The sequence below is a fragment of the Homo sapiens genome, chromosome 20 (assembly GCF_000001405.40).
Source record: "Homo sapiens chromosome 20, GRCh38.p14 Primary Assembly".
Classification (NCBI taxonomy): Eukaryota; Metazoa; Chordata; class Mammalia; order Primates; family Hominidae; genus Homo; species Homo sapiens.
The window spans coordinates 14,322,111-14,345,308 of NC_000020.11; the positions used below are offsets into that span (position 1 = coordinate 14,322,111).

Below are 23,198 nucleotides of genomic sequence, written 5' to 3' on the forward strand. Positions count from 1 at the left end.
GAAATGTATGTATAATTATTGAGTGCCCTTTAAGGTGGAGACTTGTATCTTGATATTCTATTGAAATATATATATATATATATATATATATTTTGTATTTTGCAAAGCAACTGGATTTTATAGCAAGCGTAGGTAAAGAAAAAACTTGTATCCTCTTGGTGCTCTGTGTATTTGCTAGTATAAAACATGTTTCTGATTTATTCCAGGCAACATAATCAAAAGGTGTATTTTAGAACATACACAAACTTTTCTATGCTCATGAAAGGTATACTGACTGGAAAATATCAATATAATCTCTTTTTTTTTTTTTTGCTTTTTATAAACTACAGGTTTACAGAGACTTTATGGAGACATCCAGTCCTTTCCCTGACTTCTAGCAGAACTATAGCTTAAACTACTCAAAACTTCTAGAAGCAAAGTCAAACTTCCTTCAGAAACATTCCTTATGTTTAATGTTAATCACATTCATCTTTTAAGTTGTCCCTCGAAAACAACCATAATGGGAAGCCAAAAGACAGAGTGTTGGGAAACATTTTGAAGACAGCAAACAAATAATTAATAAGATTTCATAGTCACTTGGAGATATCTCCTTGTCAGTAGAGGAGTAAAAGGAGCAGTATCTAGTAAAACTTGGGAACAGATGGCAAACATTTGTTGACCATAATAATAGTAGTAACTTGTATTTTGTAGAAGATTATACAGTTTCCATGCACATCGTGTCATTTAATCCTCACAAAAATGAGGGTACTATTAACCCCCTTTTACAGATATGGAAACATAGCTAGGAAGGGTAAGTAGTTTGTTTTTAATTGCATACCTAAGTGGTAGATCTGAGATTTCAAGTCTTTTGATGCTCTGTGTGGAAAACACAAACTCAAAGTGTGTATGTGTGTTTAATTCTCTCATTCAACAATAATCAACATAGAAGACTTGTCTTAACAAGTTTTGCCCCATACACCACGCAAGCAATCAGTTCTTCAGCAGATACCAGCTGGGTGTCCTCCAATTCAGTTTAATCCCAACACTGTCTACCTGGAAATTGTGTCATATCCCACAGGTTGAGGGCTTATTCCCACAAAACTGCCTCCTCTTCAGACACCAGTTGCAAGACTAGTCAGCTTCAAGTTTGGTTTCCCAGGATCCCCTTTTTGTGTTCTATTAATTTGCTACAACAGCTCACAAAATGCAAGGAAACAGATTTACTGACGTATTATAAAGGATGTTACAAAGGATCCAGATGGCAGGAAACATAAGGTGAGGTCTAGGTGGGCACAGAGCTTCCATGCCCTCTCCAGGCATGCCATCCTGCAGGAACCACCACATGTTCAGCAATCTGGAAGCTCTCCAAATCTTGACCTTTTGTTTTTTTATGGAGGCTTGATTACATAGGCATGCTTGATTAAACCACTGGTCACTGGTGATCAACTTAATCTTCATCCACTTCGCCCTCTCTGGAGGTTAGGGTTTGGGGTTGTAAGTCCCAACCCTATAATCATGTCTTGGTCTTTTCAATGATCAGACTTTATCTTGAAGCTACCTAGGGCCTGCCAGCTATCAGTGAACTCATTAGCATATGAAAATATATCACTTTGAAGATTGCAAGGATTTTAGGAGTTGTATGCCAGAAACAGGGACAAAGAGAAAGTGTGTATTTCACAGTATCACAAATGCCAACTCACTCTACTAAAAGGCTATTTTAAAAAAACAGTTTTTCAAAGACCACCTTAAAAAGTATCAGGACAGTGGCAGCAGTGCGCCTAAGAGAGAAAGGCTTTGAAACCATTTCTTAAATTTTCCATCTATACAGTGTATAAGTAAGAGGAAATACATTTATACATGAAACACTGAACTCTTTGAAGTAAAATGATACACAACCTCAAGATGTTGATTTTTTAAAATTTTTAGCCAACTTTTATTTTTATGCCTAGAAAAATACATGGGACGTTTAGGACTAATGTGCTGGGCAATTTGCTACTTAGTGATAGTAACACAATCCTGAAAAAGCAAGCACAATTATTCTGTACTTTTTAAAAGTTTTATTCAGCAATAAGACCATAATTTTTCATATTTAAGGAGTATGAAAAATTTGTGGAGTTTTAAAAGCTGAATACATGTAGCGTTGGATCAAGGCACATACAAGACTGGCCAAAGGGCGTACAATGCACTTTGGTTTTTTGTTGAAAAAAAAAAAATCATGGCAACAGAAAAGTGATATGGTTTTTCAACAAGTAACAGCTCACAATTCAGTAGGAAGCTAGAAGGAAATGTTACATTACGAGTTCATTATATAATATCTGGAAAATTGTGACAGTAATGGGCAGTATTCTTGATCTTTGTAAAAGTAAATTGAACATTTATGTACAGTGTTAAAACCTTTGACATAAACCAGATCTAAATTTGATGTCTAGTATTTATTTTTCTTTAAATTATCTCTTATTTAAAGAACTACTTTCTCTGGATTGTTGAGGGGAATCGCTTATAATTACATTACATTTTTAATATGCATAAAGTTTCTCTGACATCCTTTATGATAAAAACATCATAAACACTAACAATTTTGTGTTTATAATTCACTTTTCAAAAATCAGGATGGTATAGGCAAAACCAAAATGCAGTTTTGGTATTTGTGTTCATTACACTATACAAGTCTAAGTTTCCATGTTTTCCTAAGTACACATTTTCCCCCCAACTTGGAAGCACATTTACATTACCGTTTTTGTGAAGTCCTTTATTTTCAAAGCTTTGCTGACAATGGCTTTAACAGACTTCATGCTCCTTTTATGCCAGCTGATGTATTCAGTTCAGAAGATATGCTTAACTTTTTTAAGGATAATTAATTTGCCTAGAGCAAAAATGGAGATATGCAGGAAGTTTGATATTGCCCATTACTTCACACATTTTGATTTATTGAATACCACTGGGATAATACAAATTTAATAATTGGAACATTATTTCATAACCATTTTTTAAAATTAAATTTTATCTCATTCAGCCATTCAGCCAGTTTTTTTTTTTTACATTTTATTAATACCAAAGTGAAAAATGGCCTGTGCTTATACTACAAGGATCTCATATGAATGCAGTCCTGATTGTTCGACACAGCAAGAAAATTCACTTTCACAGTCAACAAGTCATCTTACTCAGTAGAACACAAAGTAAATGGTTTATAACTCCAATATTTGCAAGGAAAATACAGTACAAATTACTAAAAAATACTAAAATATAGAATTGTGTTCAGGCATCTCCACTACATCAATCGCAGCAGTAACCTGAAATTTGAAACTTTTAATAAAAAGTTCTTAAATATAAATTATATGGCAAATGTACAGTACATTGCTTTTTTTCAGTCTCTTTTTCCAGTGTTTTGCAGTAGAACAGGGTTCCTACCATCACCTCCCTTAGGTTTAAAAAACCCAAAACACAAGTCTGCTGTGAGTCCTTCAGCATCATGAGTGTGAGTGATCTGAGTCTGGAATACCACTGTCTCTGTAGCTTCGGTTACTACTGCTTTCACTGTGATTGTTTTTGTACAGATTCATTCCATTAGGAGGAAATATGGTGTGTATTACAAACTCCTCCTTCGAGATGGGTTCATTGCTTATTGGTAACATCTGAAAAGAAGTTTCCCTGATTTCCAGGATAGAGTTGTCCTTCTTAGTGCCAGCTTCTGCATAGTCATCCTTTCTTCTCCTCCCTTTGCTATATGCACAGTTCCTTGAGAAGAGCGATCCATTCCTATGAACATACCAACACACTAAAGCAAGAAGGGCAATGGTAACCAGGGCCACAGCCCCACCAATGATGGCAGCCAAAGGTAAATTGGGGTTTTTGTAAGGTTCTTTCTCTTGCTCTCGATTGAGGGTGGTTGTAGGGTTGTACATTCGAAGGGGTGCAGTTTCAGTCTCAATACAAACAGGAGTTTCATCAAATAGGTAGAGGTTGCTGGTTTCCATGGGAACCATGCATACTTTATAGGGTGAATCAGGCTCCAGGGCTGTGACCAAGTACTCACTGCGTTCCCCTGTTACAATTGTTTCTGTTATAGATCCAAATGCCGGGCTATGGCCCAGTTTAAGCCAGCTGAGTCTCAAAGCAGTCATAGGTAGAGCAAGTTTCCAAGAGATATGAATGGTATCAGAGGTGACAGACTTCACAGTAATTGTAATTGTTTTTCTTGAGGGACTCCCTGTGGTTTGGTGATCCTTAGTGAGCTTGGGGTTCTTAATATCTGGCTGTTTGGTCACTGGAGCTGGCCACTGTCCTTGGGCAGGATACACTGTGTTGGGTATTGCAGTGGTTATCTGAATGGTGCTTACAATCCCACTGTCCTTACAATCAAACAGTTCTGCATTGAGATCCTTAATAGCCATCCCACGAACCTTTTCTGGGGCTTGGCACATGAGCCCACGCACGTTGACCTTCACAGGTAGTGATTGTAACCAGTCACGTACCCATTTCATCTTGCACCCGCAATACCAGGGATTGTTGCGAAGAATCAGTTGTGTTATATTGTCCAAATCATCAAAGATACCCTGAGGTAAATTACTTAGGTTATTATTGGACATATCCAGTCGATAGAGCTGCCTTAGATAAGAAAAAGCATTTGGGGGCACCCGATTGATGTGGTTATCTTGAAGATAAAGCTTCCTCAGGTTTGTGCCTGGAAGGTTTACTGGTGCAGCAGTCAGGGAATTCCGCACCAGGGACAGCTCTGTCAAATTAACTAGGTTGAAGAAAACTTTGTCACCTAAACCATGATTGTTCAACAGGTTTCCATCTAGAACCAGGCGTTTTAGACTAGTGAGACCTTGAAGAGATGGTGATGAAATAGTGGATATGCGATTATCATCCAAGCGTAGTTCTTCTATAGTCCTGGGCAAACCCCAGGGAATTGTGCTAAGGTGATTACGGGACAGGAAAAGCAGTCGGAGATAGTTGCTGTCTCGGAATGCTCCCTCTTCTATGCTAACTGCAGAGACAGAGTTGTCATCTAAATGTAATTCTTCCAGATAGGGAATTTTTGAAAGTGAATCATAAGTGATAGTCCTTATGTTATTTTCTTGCAAATGTAACTCTTTTACATACTTTGGGAGGTTGGTAGGAAATTCATCTAAACTGTTGTGGTATAGGTATATTCTTTCTACTTTCAGCAAGTTTTTCAAATCTGAAGGAATCCCAGCATTATTTATTTGGTTGTTCTGAAGGTAGAGAGTTGTAGCATCCTCTGGTATTCCTGTTGGAATGGATGTCAGAAAGCGATCATTACAGTAAATGAAACCCGCATCGCAGCGACACACAGATGGACAGGATTTAGCCATAACTGATAGAGGTGCTACTTGAAGGAACAGCCCAATTTTAGTCCCGATGAGGAAGATGCTCCAGGCTGCGCTGATCATGGTCAGCAGTGTTGAGGTCTTTATACAAGGTAGCTTCCGTTACTTCAGAACCCTAAAATGAAGTGAGTAAAAAAAGACAGAAAACAATAAGGCCAGCATACTGAATATAATGTTTAAAAACAAATGTGGAAACTAAAATATCCATAATCACTTTTAATATTTTCATTTGTTTTGGGAGGGGGCATAATAGGGTTTATTGCTAGCTAACAATAGACACTGTCATATAATCTCTTTACCTTAATGGTTTCTTAATTTCTTTATAAATTAAAAAGTATCTGTCCTAAATCCATTTGATTTTGAAATATTAAATATAATTGAAGTTTTATTGAATAATCCAAAGTATTTTAATTATACTTTATATCAACCTTTAGACAGTCACTGATCAAGCTAATTGAATATCCATTTCTTACTTAATATTCATAATAAGTAACACCTTGGAATATTATTTCTTATATTTAAAGGTAATCATTTTACTGTTATCAAAAAACCACACATTTTTATATTTACTTTTTATTAGGCAAAAACTATACAGGTGTAGAAAAATGTCATAAAAATACCTATTCTCTTCATACTCAGGAATAGTTACACACATCTTGAGATCCTCAATCTCAAACCCATAGTTTGCTTTGATTATTAATGTCATTTCATTTTCTTTGGTTATTAATTTTAAGCATTATTTTAAATGGATGGATTTCTGCAAGAAAATAAGAATGATTCCTTCATTTATTTTTGGGAAAGAATTACAAAGCTAATACATCCAGCTAACCTAAGTGGAAAATTTCACTTCATATTAAATTCTGTCTTTCTTCTGTTCACATTTTGTTATATGTTTCATACTGCAGGTTTTAATGACTTTGTCCACATTTTTCATTATTTTCTACCTCATAACGTGTTGTCACAGTGCATTTATATTTCTTTGAATTCTAACCTAGAACATAAATCAACTTTTTCTATGGCTGGCAAAGTATAGATTTATACTGATGTATTGTGTAATATAGTCTCTTCTGTCCTTTTAAGTATTAATTAGCCTTTGTAATTTTAGGCATGAAAATAAAATACTTTGTTTTTCCTACCTTATTGAACGATGTGAGTAAATTTTGCGGGGGTGAATATCCAATGCACATATATTATTTTCCTGGTGAGGGACTGGGACTTATAAACTTTTGTTTAGTCCTTGGAAATGTTCTTCACCGTTTATTCAAGTAATCCTATGGCGTACACACCTCCAGATCAGGCTTGCTGTTGTCAATGAACATTCCAGCTGCAGTTCAGCATGGTGGGCAAGCTCATTAAAGTGGGGGCAGAAACAATTCTGCTTCCTGTTACTATGTAGGACACATGGCTTCCTATGTATTTTTTTTTTCTTTCTGATAGAGTTTCTGTGTGAAAGTTCCTTTTGTGTAGCTTAATTCCCTTAGTGGAAATTGCCCTCTTTGAAATTCTTATTGGCTCTTCTGTGCAATGTGGTCAGAGATAGTAACTTCAGATCCTCATGAAGAAAGTCATTCATGATGCTAAGGCCTGTATAGTAATAGGTTTTTCAGGCAGTTACCCCCTACCTTTATTCCCATCCAGGATTATCCAAGTATAAACTTTGTACAGTAGCTACATCCTGAGGTATGATTACCTGCTGTGAAATAGCTATTTCCAGCTTTTGCTTCTTGCTGATTTTTCAGAATGTCTGGTGCAGTCACGTTATACAAGAACAGGTATTCTCTTTTAAGAAGTAAAGGAAACTAAATTCTTCATTTAAAGAAAAGGAGGCATACTAAATTTCCTTTATATTTCTCTTCCTTAAAATATACTGGGACTGAGCATCTCCTGTGAAAGTAAAAGGTTTTAATGAACTATTAATAATGAACTTTAACATACTAGAGAAATTTCCTAGACATTTAATTTCAATGTCTTAAAATAACACATCTTTCATCATAGTGGTTAGTCAGAAGGGATAGGTTGACCTCTTTGTTTTTAGACTTCTCATTTTCTTATACAAATAAAGTAGGAGCCAAAGTTGAGATTGTCATCAAACAGATAATTTCTATTATCTGATTGTGTCACTTTGAATTAAACACCATGGCTTTCAAATTCAAGCCAGTCTTTAAAAATTTACTTTTAAATCATATGCATAAAATGATAAAATGTTTAAAAAGAAGAAAACAAGTACATGTCAAAGAGGTGAGCAAATACATTAACAAATATTTTTGACAGAAATGCCAAGGTAACTTTTTAGGCATTTCTGAACATGATTTAACAAAGTCACACAATCCACAATTTAGAGTTGAAAAGACTATTTTAAAAGCTTTTCTTTTGATTTGCTTAGTGCCCTGTTTGATTCCTCCTGCAGGTCTCAATTCTCCCAACTGCAGAATGTTGACATCATCCCCTTTCTCTTTAGGGGTGTATCTAAGGACTACTTAGTGATCTTGAAACTCTAAGCACTCAGGTGTTCTTGCCCAAAAGGTGACATAGAAGTTCAAGTCATATTTAGTTTTTCTGGAGAATACTGTTCTAATTTTCTTTTAGCATACTGAGTTTGAAAAAAAAATTGTATTTGAAATAGAAGGGACACTATTATTTCAATCTCCTTGTAGTGACCATTAGGAAAGCACATCAAAACCAGGTGGGGCATTTCTCTCTAGGTTCATACATGAATATTGCCAGTTTTTAATAAGTGTATTTTTCATTTCCAAAAGAAGACTTTTGGCTTGACTAAAGAGATCATTGAATTTAATGTTGACTGCTTTGCCCATTATCAAATATGCACGAAGATTTTTTGAGAGTTTAGAGGAGGTGAGTAATATTCGAATTGGTTATGCAGGGTCATCCACTCTGATACTTTGTATATATGTAGGGAACATTTGAGTATCCTGGAAATATGTGACCCTCAAAGTAAGGACTAAAGTAGTAGCAATTTGCTTCTCCCACAGTTGCTATCTAACATCCAACAAGTATAGCATCTGTTCCATAATTCAGATACTCTGCTGAACGAGTATGTTAAATAAGGCCACAATTTGTGTTTCTGGTTCTCTCCAAAAATTCAGTTTCTTTTAGTTTGCTAACTACATACCAACATGGTCATAGGCTATATTAACGGAAGAAAAGTGAAAACAATTACAGATACATATAATTTATTATTTACGCAACTTGAAACAAAAATAGCAGTTAGCAGATGGATCAAACAGTCTCTAGTGAATATTGCAAAGTGCCCACAGAGGAAAGTTTAAATGATTTATTGTTTAATGTGAGGTTTTACTGTGATGCCTTTAGGGCTTTGCTCATTATTGTCAAATTCCAATAGTATCTTTTCTTGAAAACTGTTGCTTTCTCAGTGTGTGAAAATGGAAAACCAAGCTGCTGAAATTATAATTACAAAGTTACTTTTTAAAGTATCTTCTGTAAAAGTTTTTTAAACTTGAAAATTATTCAACATATAAAATAATGTGGTTAATTTAAGTTTAGAAAACAATTGCTTATGTTAAATTGCATTAGAAACTAATTAAAAACCATTATAAAAATAACAAGTGAGAACCTGCTTAAAATGTTACCAAGAGTCAAGCATTTCTGATATTCCAGGGATGATGGTGAGGCAATATATACTTGAGATGATGAATCCGCTGATTGGGGATTTAAAAACTGATTGTCCCCTGAGTCAGGTCAGACCACAGTGTGTCCAAGGTGATGATCATAATGATAACCAGACATAAAATAAATGTCTTTTATCTTGTGTCTGGACTATATATATATTTCACCAAATAAGGCTCTAACAATATGTATTGATTTTCACATTTTTAACCCAGAGAATGAAAGAGTTCTAAATTGGTGTGAAAAGACGGAAGATTAATTTGTTTATTTTACCTGTTTTACATTTGTGAAGCTGCTTTCTCTATTCTGTTTGATATGCAAACTCACATTTGCCATTCATACAATAGTGGTAATAATGTGGGATTAACAGAAAGCCTTAAATCTCATTAAGTTCTTGGAAAATGTCATTCTCTTCTCCCCACATTGTATTAAAATAAAAGGCAAAAACATAAAACAGGTTTCTTAGGAGAGAAGGATACTCTTTCGGAAATGAAGATTACGTTCAGAGCTACTCTCATATGCCCCTGCTCCCTTAGGCTCAAAACAGTTCATGTTTAACTACGTTTTATATCTTCTCTTTCCCATTTATGTTTGAAACTATAGTGCTAAACAGATTTTTGGGTTTTGGTTTTGGCATATTAAAGGCTGCAAGGATCTCTTCATCAAAAATGAACGATCCTCTCCTATCCTTAGACCTTCCCCTTTCTGAGCTGGATCTACATATTTGCGCACCTAGAAATACTGTAGTCAAATGTCGATGATGAAAAGAAAAATGACCCCCACTGGCATGGACACTGTGGCCAGGTTTCCATAACACTGACTTCAGAGCCTTTCTGTCCGCCTAGGCTTGAAAGAGGCCATTACTTCTGAACAAAATGAATCGATCTTTTAGAAAAATACTGTTAATGGGGTAACTTGGGAGGAAAACATAAATGAAGCCCTGGTAACTTAATGGAATGTTTAAAAACATTTTTTAATGGAATCATTATTTAACTATAAAACACTTAAAACTGTAGTAAAAAGAAGAAAAACATAACCACCTCACTGATGAATCAAATTTTTAATAGGGATCCTTATATTCATATTCAGTTTATTTTTACAAATAAAAATTGTGGGGTTTTTTTGCATTTATAATGTAATCATCAAGTCTGAAAGCTTCCAATTTATTTCCATGATACACCCAATAAAACATGTAAATAGATAAGGATACTATTTTAGGGAAACTAATATAAGAAGTTGTATCTGAATAGAAAACTAGTATTTAAATAAAATCAAGAGCTTGCGGCAATCTACATGTTTATGTGATTTCTTCCCTGCTACTACAATATTTTGGAGGTGGGAGTGTTATGAGAAGGTATTTCTTATGTTTTGAGAATATTACTTAGATTAAGATGAAGCTGTATAATAGTAGTGCTAACTTCTTATTTAATGCCTTAGATTTAAATTGATTTTGATTTGACCTGTTTGATCATTAGTCATTTTTTAAAAATATTAATTCAAGTATAAGGTTTTGAGATTATAGTTTATTTTTAATGATTTCTCTCACAGAATGATTTCTTAATGCTGGGGACTTTTAAAAATATTCAATCTAAAATCTAATGGCATGTAGAACTTTTAATCCAAGTTAGTTGCATTGTTTTAAGTAAAACCTTGAGACTAAAGAAAACACATGCCTAAACAAATGTATCCAACTTTGTGAATATTTCTAGGTAAACTGGAATTTATACAATCATAATTTAGAGTATTAGGAAGGTAATTTATTTATGAAGGCTTAAATTGCTGCCAAAAAAGCTCAACCTGTGAATGCTAAGCCTTTGCAACAACAAACGGTATTTCAAATAAACTACATATACGGTTAAACTGAAAAACTGGAGTACATCAGGTTAGTTGATAGTGACAGCAAAATGCTTTCTAAGCAGCCTGTCTGGTAGTTAAATTTTCCATGATCATCAGATTTCAGGAAAGTTCCAATTCTTTTGTTCAATGCCAGGCAAGCAGAAGGACCTCTAACTCTCCTCTTGAGAGTCATGAAGTCTGAAGGGTTTGCTGAGAGGCAGAGAAGCAAGTGTGCCTTTTCATACTTGGTTTTATCCAGACTATTTTCTAGCCTGAACAAGGTCCTTGTTTCATTTATGGAAAATAGAGGATAAAATTTCCAATGCTAAGTATTTTTACTTTTTCTTTTTCTGTTACTGGTTATTTTCCCCGGTACGTTTCTGACAAATGAATCAAATTCTGCTTCATTTATTTTGACTTGTAAAGTTAAATCAAGCATCCTTAAAACAAAAAGGCAAACTGGGATATTATCCGTCAGCATAGTGAATGCTGCTTCCTTTTATGATATTAAACCCAAAGTAAATGAATTAGAGAACAAGAGTTGTAAGAACGAGTAAGATATTAATTTAGAGAGTGGTGAAGGTAAGTGGTGCAGAGTTTGGGGTGGGGGCATGCTTTAAATTTGTGCTTTTGAGCAAATGCAATTAAAAGTTTGCCTACTTTTGTTAAACCACGTTTTACCATTGCAGACTTCAAATTCCTTTTTAACAGTGTGGGTACAACTTGGTTGATGTGCTTTAAATTTCTAATATTTAAGTTTCCATACAGTAGTTCAGCAAATACATTTATTTTAGTCTACTGTGTGGCAAGCACTATACTGGTCGGTGAGACCACCTGAAATCATAAAATACATTGTTTTTCATGTCCAAGCAGGGTATTACTTAAACCAGATGAAGAGGAAGAAAATCAACAACACATAAACTGATCAATCCACAGTCCAGTGGCACACTTTAAAAATGGTTTTTAACCAAATGTGGTCTGTGGGTTTTCTCTTCAAAGTTGCCTCGGTAACTTGTGCACATGTAAAGTGAAAGAATAAAGAACAAAAGCTGTCATTGTCTCATCGAGTGAGAGCAATTTCTCCCTCCTTTGATTTAAACAGAATAATACCTGCAGAAAGCTTTTTATACATCCCTGACACTTGATTTTAGGGTAGGAAAGAGATTATGCATATGCAAAACAAATGAAATTTTAGCTTTTGCTTAAATTATATTCTATTGCTTTCTACTTAAAATCTGTTTTCTCTGGGGTTTTCGTAAATAGATAACTCAAAGTTCTTTCTTACACAACATAAACATAGCTTTGAAAACTGTCTTTTAGTGTGATGTTTAACCAAATTGAGTGATGTCGATCTGTATTTTGAAACTGGAAAATACTTTTTGAAATGTGTATACCTATTTTCTTAAGAGGAAGAATGCTGTTTCAGAAGACCAACTCTTTGTTGGAAATTTATTTGTTGACTTTCAGTAAATTTTTGAAATGGTGGAATGTTAGAAGGAGCTGAGAAACATCCCTTTTTATGCTCTGAAGAGAAAATGCAGTTTTGAGGATTAATATTGCTGAGAGATTTTTACTGTAGAGTTTTTGCCCACTGGGGGGTGGTACACTCTACCAGAACACTGCTTTCTGAAGCCGCAAGTCAGATGTTGGCTGCTGCTGGCCAGTTTTTCTCTGGTTTAATTACAACAAAGCCTCCCGTTGAGAAGAACAGTGAAGGCCTCTGGGGCAAAAGGTGGGGGGTGGGAGGGAAGGGGGAAGGAGGAAAGACGGAGGGGAGAAATTATGGCCTTTGAAAAATTACTGAATCTTATTTCCATTGTTGACTTTATTTATGGTAGTCTTCATTTGATTTAAACAGTTATTTCTAATGCTTTTTTTTTTTAAATAAATGGGTTTGAATAAAAGAATATATAAGGGGATCTATTCAGAATTTTTAAGTTAGCTCTGGATTTTGCCATTAATCAATCACATTCTTTGTTATATAGCCCACCCACCTTAAAAAGAGGCATAGAAGTTAAGAAATGACTGAAATGGCAACTATAAACCAATACTTTTTCATTGACCAGATTTAATATTGGTATGAACATTGGCATATCAAAAATGAAAAGCAAGAAAGAAGAAACATTAATATATTATTAAGACAAGGCCAATTCCCTGCACTGATTTTTGTAGGGCTTAAAACTGTTCAAAATAATCCAGAAAAAGGAGGAAGCCTTAGGGTGTGTGGCCAAGAAAAGCACAGAAAAATCTCTCTGCAGTGCACTTGCATGTTTAAAGCTGATTATTGTATTTTTCATCTAGAGAGACTGAGTGTTCATTAGGGTCTTGTGTCCCTAGGCAGGAGATGCTGAGCATAATTGGAGTTTCTATTTGATTGGGCAATATAGTCTAGAGAAGAAACTGGGGTAAAGATAATTAATAGCTTGCTAACAAAGTCTGACAGCCACAAGATTTCAACCAAATTTATTTCACACTGCTTCATTTAGCTCTGAAAAAGTTTTGATAGAATTGTAGGCTCCTTAATTAACACTTGAAAGCAAAAGAAACATACCTTCTATTTTGCTGCCACATTTAGTTATGACAGATTTTCTTACTGTTTTTCTTCTTTTTGTAAAAACTTTATTTGCTATCCAATTATATATCTCACAAACGTTATGTTTGGGAAGTGTTTAATTGTGCATTTTGAACCCAGTCATAATTGATTTTAAAGGGTGGGGTGCAGCGAAATGAAAAACCCAATTAGTAACTGGTAGACAGTTTTACAGAACCGCAATATTAATGAATTCATTATGTTTATTCATTCACTAATATTTTGCTGATCCTTGGACTTGATGTGTTTTGGTTGTGCTCTTCAAAAAATCAAATTTTAGTTTTCTTAGTAAATCTATGCGTTTTTGTAACTCTGTTTTTATTTCAGGGTAATAAATAGATGTGCGTTTGTCTGTGTGTATATATATGTGTCCAAACTAAGGGGCATATCTCTGATTTAATTTTCCCATGGTAAAACCTGGCATATTATCATTAATATTTGTAGTAGTTGGTAATGTTGATATTATTGATTGTGGCACTTTTAAAGGATTAATTTTTCTTTACTCATTTCGGAAGAGATGAATATTAGTCATCTGTCACTTTGGGTCAGGTATAAGTGATTCTCCCTGAATATAAGCAAATTTATTCTTTATGTTTAGGCTGGTCAGGATATTTTTATGCAGTCAGAGATAAATGAAAGGCATTGCTACAGCTGAAGGACTTTTCTAGTGGCTTTATTTATGTTGTTTCTGGATAATAAAATAACATAGATGAGCATTTTAGACAGATTTATTAATAGACAGATTTATTAAGAATGTTTAAAATAGCCTTATTATTAAAACCATTAGAGATTTTGGACTAAAAATTGAAAAAAAAATCAATTTTTTTTCTTTTAAATTCTAAATAAAATAATAAAAACAAACCCCCCAGATGTTGAGAAGACATGGATGGGCCTGTTGCACTCTTTACCTATATGCAACCATTTTGTTTCAGACCTAATTCAGTGAACAAAATTTTTTGAGAAGATACATTTAACTACTTTTTCAAGCTTTGTAGTATAAATGCATTTCTTCCAATATAAGATTTTCCTATTATAAGTTGCAAAGAATGGATCCTCTGCAAAACCCACTTGATAAGGGCTCTACTCATTTATTTTTCTTTCCTGCTACCCCAAACTCACTGCATACATCAGGCATAGCTTCCAGGGTGAGCTTTGTTAGTTTTTCTGAGTAGACTTAGCCATTTACTATGCTAGTCACATACTTCACTTGCCTAAGCAATGGATTTTGGTGTTCTATTGAAGAGGGAATATGGTTTGGAAGAGTGTCTCCCCCTCCTCTGAGTTCAATTTACTAGTTGAGATTTGCAAGCCTGAAATGCTTGAAGCAGCTCAGGCACGATAGCAGTGCAAGCTTTAAAATCTAGGTGTAGCTGTTAATCCTTTACAGAGGCACATAAGTCTCCAGGAGTAGCTCGGCTAGCTGTGAGCAAGATGTATGCTTTTCATGTACTGCGTACTCATGGGCTGAGGGATTATTGATTTTCTTTCACAGTTGTAAAAACAGCAATTGGTGATCATCCCACACGTACAGTACACACCAAGTTGCTTTCCTATCTGTGAAGAATCTCCTTGTATTCTTTAATATTTAACATTGAACTTTCCAACTTGCTGTTTTCCATAAGGCTCTTTTCACATAGCAATTACTCAAGACAGAAAATAGCCACTTACTATCTTTTATAAATGAAAGAAGGTTCTAAGAAACTTCTTACATTCAGCCATGATAGTGAAATTTTTCATTGCTGGCTTGCACGCACATATATTGCTTGTTGTGGTGACAGAGCAAACGTTCCTATTTGGATTTCTCATAGTATCAAGTCGTTTCTTTCTAGAGAGTAAAACCAAGCAAACTTTCTGGGACAATCATAAGAAAAAACATGGAAAACACTTACCAGGAAGACGAGAAAAAGCAATCCTATATACACTGCCGCTATAGCTGTAATTCCATTGACAGTGAATTGGAGTAATAGCCCTCCCCCGTCTCCCAAGCTCTGCGTCCAGTCCACACAAAGCCCACGGCAGCTGCAGGCTGAGCTTGTCCTGCTTCAGATCACTCCTACACTGAGGAGTGAGCGAGGGAGAGCATTCCAGTTTACTGCACACAGCCCACCTCCAAGTCTGAAGTTTAAAGCTTCACCTCGCAGTGGCTGAAGAAGGGGGTGATGTCATAGATGGGCAGGACTTAGCCAAGATCTTGTTCAGTGAGGTAACTGGATAATCAGACAGATGAGCTTTGCAAACGCTAGAGGGGGCGAGAGCAGCCAAAATGAAGCATCAGCCTGCCAAAGCTAGGATGCCATTTGGTTTGTAGGCAGCCCTTTGGAATCTCAACATTTTCTAAAGTTTACTACAAGGCAGTGGTAGCATACTTATGTATTTTTTTTAAAAAGCATGTTAGAAAGATATTTTTAAGATCACAATAGAAAAAGACAGGCTTTGTCTTATTTTTAAACCATCTGTATTGAAAAGAAGTTAACCAAAATCAAATTAGTTTTATTATTCACTAGCTAAAATAATGTTATAATTGTGGAAGATGTATGCCAGTAATCCCAACTGTGAATGTTTATTCAACATATGAATAAACAGCAGATTCAAATATATACATCAGGGCTGGGTGTGGTGGCTCACGCCTCTAATTCCGGCACTTTGGGAGGCCGAGGTGGGAGGATCACCTGAGGTCAGGAGTTCGAGACCAGCCTGACCAACATGTAGAAAAAATTAGCTGGGCGCCCGTAATCCCAGCTGTTTGGGAGGCTGAGGCAGGAGAATCACTTGAACCCGGGAGGCAGAGGTTGCAGTGAGCCAAGATTGCACCATTGCACTCCAGCCTGGGCAACAAGAACGAAACTCCATCTCCAATATATGTATATATATACACGTGTCACTGATTCATTTAGTTATGGGAAGGGCAATAGGAATGCCAAAAGATTTTTTTAAATGGTATTAAATGGTCTGTTCTTTTGGAGGCGAAGAAGTTACTGTTCTCTATGTTTTAGAAAATGAAAGTATGTTTTATGTACTTCTGCTACGTGTTTATATTATTTAAAATGGATTATTTATATTTAACGATCCCCCAATAAAATGTTTTTAAAAAATTTAATAGAATATTTTCCTTTCTAAATGTTTTTGCTGATCTGAGCATGGGTTTAGATATAAACATCTTAAGAAAAAAATCTTTCAGGGTGGTTTGCCTGGATTGAAATTATTTTAGTTTAATTTAGGTACATGAATAAACACTGGACAATTGTAAGACGTGGAGATTATAAATTTCTATGCCTAATTAACAGAATTATACTTGTATTTTTAATTATGATTTTTGTAGACTGGTTTCTGCTATTTGGTCAACAATTGCTTTGTGCCCGTAAGTTTTCCATCAAATAAGTGTATTTCACTTGTTCATGTTGGTGGTAAGAACTTAGCTTTTATATTTACCTGGAGGACCGTTGTCTTAAACTAATATCTTTATTTGCTCTATTCTTAGAGGTGCATGACCTTCTCCTTTGTCCTTTCTCAATTTTTCCCTGCATGTTTATTTCTGAAGAAGGCCAGCTAATAGTCTTTCCCAGGACTATTTGATTGTGGTCTCTTCATTAGCTTCATTTAGTTTATCTATTTATATATTTGTTTGATAACAGTTTGACCTGAGTTCCCTTCCAAGAATGGGTGATATCAAAGTAGGTGAACCCTTGATAAGAAATGTATTGACCCTATTGTTCTATGATTGCACTTTTGTGGGCCTCAGAGGACAGACCCATTAAATCTAGGAGTTTTAGATTCTAATGTCCATTGAAAAGCCAATTTCTTTGAACTGCTAGGTAGTACAATTAAACTGATATGCAGCAGCTGAATTTTGGGAGGAAAGGGAGGTGGATATTTTTCTGTTACTATGAAACAAAGACATGGATTAAATTATTTTATTAAATAATTATTTCTAGAAGCCATTTTCAGATAGGAGTTGGTTCTGTTTAAAAAAGAAAATTTTTGCCTGGTCAAATTCCTGTGGGTTTATAGCCATATTTAATCAGTTTCGTCTTCATTCAGGCAGGCCTTAAACAGAAAAGAAAAATCAATTGGTGAATTGGGTTATAGGTATCAAAAATAAATTGTACTGGCCTGGGAGTTAGCAGTTTGGAGGTTTCCCTTCTCTGGGCTGCCATTGTTATATGACTTCATATTTGTTGCCCTAGGCTTTGGTTTCATCACTTGACAAATAAAGGCAGCAAGGATTTATTAAATGCCAATTATTTTTTGTTGCTTTTTTTCCCCTTTTAAGCTATGGATTAAAATATGGGAAAAGAAAAGAAATTGTGAAAATATATTCTATACTGGGGTACTGACTTTGGGGGCAAACTCTTAGTAGAATCTGTGGCCTCCTATTCTGTCCAAAAATATATACTCTTTTGCTGCATACATAGTTTTTCACTTCCCGCTCTTATCAGCTACCTGAAATGCTACTAGTTGAAGGTGAATTTATAATAATGTGTGCCCCCTTTGAAATAGTATGTACAATCTCTGGAAACATGAGGTTATCATGAGTTACTTCAGATTGCCCTCCTCTTTTGTTTTCTAAGGCACTTTGGCTACAATAAGGGGATGACTGTTTTGATTGAAGGGGATGGAATGCTGGCAATCTTTAGCATGAAACCCTTTTGGCTGTAATAGGAAGGGAGGAGGTGGATTCTCATATCAGGAAGGACTTGGCTCAGGGTAGAGGACAACCAGTGTAGTAGACCTGGGTAGTTTAAGAACATGGGCTTCAGAGATTAGCACAGCTGGGCTCCATGTTGGCTTTGCCACATGACTGTAGACAAATTACTTAATCTCTTTGAGTTTGTTAGCTCAGTGCCTGACTCATAGTAAGTGCTCAATAAGACGATAGCTGTCATTATTTAAGATGGGGGACATCCAAGCACCTGGAACAAAAAGGACACTAAGAATGGGAGAAGAATACACAAAGGGAGGTAGTACAGGGCCAATAACAGATTTTTGGAATTTTTCAAATTTCTCTTTGAAGTAATTTTACAGTCAGTAAATGGAAGTGGAAAAGAGGAATAGAAGAGCATTTCATTGATTTTTTTTTTCTCTTGTACTTACACATCTCATGACCTCATGTTCCCAGAACTTAACACTTAGTTGGGTTCTAGTAGATATTTTGGGTTGAAAAGATGTTTGCTGTTTTGCATTTTGTTCTGTTTTGTTGGCTAGCCTGTGAATCTAGCATTGTACGTGAGAAAGTGCATTTCAGATTGAAAGCAACTGGTTTGGAAATGAACTTCAATAACATATCCCAGTTTTAAAACTCTAGGACTATCTAAACTTGTCATCTCAAAGGACTTTGTGGTGTTCTTTGTTTGTTTTTATGAGAAAATGTGAGATGTTCACTAGTGGACATGAAAGTAGATTGGATTTGGAATTGGGTTTCCCAGGTTCTGCCATTTACTTGTATATCCAGACAAAAAAATGAAAAACAACATACACACAGAAGCCTCAAATCTGTCTTTTAGTTACCAACTACCAGCTGAAACTGACTAAAACACACAGTCATTTCATGGAACAATACAATTCAGGTCTGTCTAGAGTTAAGCTACCTCATTCACACATTCATTCATTCAGTCTTCACATTCATTTATTCATTCATCATATACATATTTATTGACTCCCTGTGTAAAAGAAACTAGTAGGACTAGATGATCCCCAAACTATCTCCAACTATGAAGTTCTGAGATTTAATCTTAGAAGACATTAAGGTTCTTTTAAGCCTAAGAAACATTCTTCATGATTTTCCTTTCCCTCAGCATTCTTCATGAGAATAAAATCTTCAAAATTGTGTAAAGAAAACAGTTTGGATGGGCGCAGTGGCTCATGCCTGTAATCCCAGCACTTTGGGAGGCCGAGGCGGGAGGATCACCTGAAGTCAGGAGTTTGAGACCAGCCTGGTTAACGTGGTGAAACCCCGTTTCTAGTAAAAATACAAAAAGTTAGCCGGGCGTGGTGGCACGTGCCTGTAATCCCAGCTACTTGGGAGGCTGAGGCAAGAGAACCACTTGAACCCAGGAGGTGGAGGTTGCAGTGAGCTGAGATTGTACCATGCACTCCAGCTTGGGCAGTACAAGCGAAACTCCATCTCAAAAAGAAAAGAAAAGAAAAAATAGTTCATACTTTTGATAGATTAAATGTCTTGGACTGTTATTAGTTAAGATACTTTTGGTTGCAAGTCATTGAAGATCTAAGCCTTACCTGCAAAATCAACAATGGGAATCCATTGGTTCATGTAACTGAGAAGTTAAAATGTATAGTACAACTTCAGGTAAAGCTTGATACATGGCTTAAAATATGTCAATAAGAATACAGTTTCTCTCTGGCTCTCTGTCCTGCCTTTCTCATTGTTGGCAGCCTCCTCAGGCTATATACAGTGGACCTTTGGCAGCTCTGGGATTTCCTCTTAGGCAATAACAGTTCCACATATCACATTCCCATAACACAATGTTCAAGGGAGAGAAGCGTCCTCCAAAAGCCCCTGCACGGAGCCCTGGGGGGGTCACTGTTTCTCATTTGCTTAAACTTGATCACAGGTTCATTCCCGAACCTATTACATGGGTGGGGAGATAACGCTGGTGAGCTTAAGCCCAATGCAGGAGCTGCAGATAAGCCCAGCCTTACTCAGACACAGAACTGAGAATGGAGGACAGGGCATGATCCAAAGGAAAATGGGGTACTCTTAGGTTGAGAAGGAAGGAGTGGATGCTAAGGATCAGCTCATTTTCAGAGGTTTTACCATGCTGAAACTTGGGCATATTTTATACATGTATAAACTTGAAACTGCTCTTTTTCTCTTTGTCTTTTTTTTCTTAAGCCAGAGTTTCTGTTAAAATTGCCAAAACATCTTTAAAAGATACTCTTATTTGTAGACGCTCTCAAGTCTAGCCCAGATTTTTCTGTCAACAGGTAGTGATGCATGTCAGGGCACATCAGTATTACATCTTAGCATAAGCCTATAGGATGTTAATAAAATATATAGAGAGTGCACTATCTGTAATTCTGTGAAGTCAGGCCAGATGCTTAATGTAGTAGTTAGAAACTATACCACATCTTTCTCAACAATTCCAAAGGGTATTGGAGAAATAATTAGATTTTAGCAGGTCACGGATGCCTTAGAATGCCGAAAGGTTTTGAAAATGCTACGTTAAACTGTTCTTTTGTTCTGATATTTGCCTTTTATTAGTCAACACTTAAAATGTACCTAAAAACAATCACATAACCCTTTTAACTATATTCCCAAAACATTCTGCACTGGAATGAGATCTGTCATTACAGGACTTGAAACAGATATCAAAGCAAAATCAGAGTGGTTATTTCCCTGCCTGCCTGCCTGCTTGCCCACCCTCTGGTACACCCTTCTTTTCCCCAACACTCATGTTGGACTGTTACACTTTGGGGACTGGGAGAAATGCAATTAAAAATCACAACTGAGAAAAAGCACCTCCTTGGCCTCCCAGGAAAGAAAGGAGGAATTGTGGTTCAGAATAAGCTAGTAAAAGTCACGGGGTGTGGCAGTAGCTGGTGCAAAACTAGAAGCCTGCTGATCCCTACTTTCTTCCCTCTTCAGCACCTCCATATATGGCCATGCAGATACAGCATATAGAACTCCAGCTGATATAGGTCAAAGCTGTGTCCTTGACCCCTTGCCACTCCCCAGTGCCCTGTCCCCTTCACTTGTTTTAAAATGTTAAAAAAAAAAAAGACTTAAAATGATCCTTGAAAAAAATGAGAGACTTGGAGGAAGCAGATTGAGTCAATCATTTCTATATGATACTTTCTATGTGGCCCTGAGAAAATAACTGGAGCTCTTTGAGCCTTAGTTCCTTTATTTATGAAGACAGGTATGTGGCACCCACCTAATTTCCTATTATGGACTTCAAATAAAGTGGTGGATGTAATAGTTCACTACTAAATCCGAGAAAGCACATACCAAGACTGAGTTGAAACCTGGGGATAGTTGCTTTTAATCTTCATAGTGATGAGTGGGGCCAGGATCAGTTCAAAAGAAACAATTCACTAATGTCAAATTGAACTGTGTGCTTTAACAATTTATCTTTGGGAATGAAACAATTTGAGAAATGCTTCTGCCTTCTCTCCTGGATGCTAGACTTTGAGATAACAGTATCTAACCCTGGTTCTGAGACTTAATTACAAATCAAAGGACAAATTCCTTATCTTTGGCAATGATTAGTATAAAATACAGCTTTGGAGGAATGACTAACAGTTAATAGGAGCAGATCAATATGTGTCTGATTATTGACATGTGGATCAACAAGATATTATACAAGTGGATTGCCCTGAAGCACGTGATTTTCTCTGTGTAGCCAGCTACTGCTGTCAGTTTGGACCAAAGTGGTCGTCATTTTGAAACCATCTTATTGTTTCACTATTTCTGGAGTATTGGTGCTAATTTTAGACACACAAATAGACTTTCTGAAAGGAAGATTTTCTGAAATTGTCAGATTTTTTTTTCTGGAAACTGGCTCTGTAGTTCTCCTTGTATTGGAGATTATCTCTTTGCTATTTCTCTGCAGTCTAGACTACTTGGGTACATTAACATGCTTAATGTTGAAAGAAACATGTTTAAGGTAGAGTCAAAGACTGTTTTCTATTTTATCAGTTTATTAATGACTATGGAAATTGCCCTTCATTGGCACTGTCTGCAGGAAGCAGATTTACTACAATTAGCATTTATTGCCCCTTGGGAACTGATATGAACTGATTATTTGCCAGATTTTCGGGGATCAAGTATCAGTTGATTAGATTTGGATTATGTAAATGTTTTACAATCTATTCCAAATAAAATAAGTTAAAAATTAAGTCACATTTACCATTGGGAAATTTTCTGTAAAATATAAAGGTACTTAAATTTTCTAAGCATGATTTATGATAAATATGTTATATATTAACTAGACTCACTTAGTTCATTCTGTAAATGATTAACCTCAAATTTGAGGAATTTGAAAACATTTTATAATTTTTTCACTAGTTTTGTTTGTTTTTTGTTTTGTTTGACATTTGAAGTGTATTCATGCTGGAAATTCACAAATACTTTGCTAGGTTTCCTATGTGGATTTAAAAATTAAGATCTAGACTGAACAAGTTTATTTAAAGTACACAAATATTGCCAAAATGTATTTATAGTTTAATGAGCTTTCATTCTTATGTTCAAAGTTGTTTTAAAAATTGAAGGTAGACTTGAAAAAGAATAAAAAAGTGTGTCACTTTTTAAAGTTATTAATTTTTGTTTGGAGAAATTCAAGGAGCTTTTTGGTTGTTTAATTCTCATGTGTACATAGAAGCAACACACAACTGTTTGAGCAGCTTTGGATGTAACCCCTCTTTGTTTTCTTCAGTAGCCCAGGGAACAGACTTGTCACTCTTAAGTGCTCACGTGTAATCCTGTCCTCCCTTTCTTCCCCAAGGCAAATCAGAAATAAGCTTATCAGATCATATCTTATTAACAAAGAACAAAGGATTTTGACTGACCAAAGAGTAGGAAAGGACTAGCAAAATATAAATGTTAAATGTTTGCTGCCAAAAATCCTAGTTTGACAGTGGTTTTAGGTAACTAAACTTTTTTTGAAAGTAGGATTTACATATTTTTAAAACATTTGCCTGAATTATACTTTGTCTAGGATTTTAAGTGCATTAGTTAATGGCTTTACCTATATTTTATATATGAATTAAGTACAATTGTCACTCATTATTATTGTCATTGTTATTATTATTTGTTCCTTACAAGCAAATCTTTCTAG

General features: G+C 35.6%; 2 protein-coding genes across 8 annotated transcripts in view; one reads left to right on the forward strand and one right to left on the reverse strand.

Moving 5' to 3' along the window:
* Window positions 1-23,198, forward strand: part of MACROD2 (mono-ADP ribosylhydrolase 2) — a 2,057,682-nt gene that overhangs the window by 326,595 nt on the left and 1,707,889 nt on the right. The gene's annotated exons all lie outside the window — the stretch shown is intronic.
* Window positions 875-15,502, reverse strand: FLRT3 (fibronectin leucine rich transmembrane protein 3). 5 transcript variants are annotated; one of them, XM_011529205.3, is made up of 4 exons: window positions 15,294-15,502; window positions 7,024-7,217; window positions 5,954-6,090; window positions 875-5,448 (listed from the first exon to the last, which is right to left on the reverse strand). In XM_011529205.3, the coding sequence occupies exon 4, from the start codon at window positions 5,394-5,396 to the stop codon at window positions 3,447-3,449; it is 1,950 nt and encodes a 649-aa protein (XP_011527507.1). In that variant the 5' UTR covers window positions 5,397-5,448; window positions 5,954-6,090; window positions 7,024-7,217; window positions 15,294-15,502; the 3' UTR covers window positions 875-3,446. The 5 variants fall into 5 exon arrangements, with proteins under 5 accessions (XP_011527507.1, XP_011527506.1, NP_938205.1 ...); XM_011529204.3 differs by having other exon boundaries at window positions 6,470-7,217; NM_198391.3 differs by lacking the exon at window positions 5,954-6,090.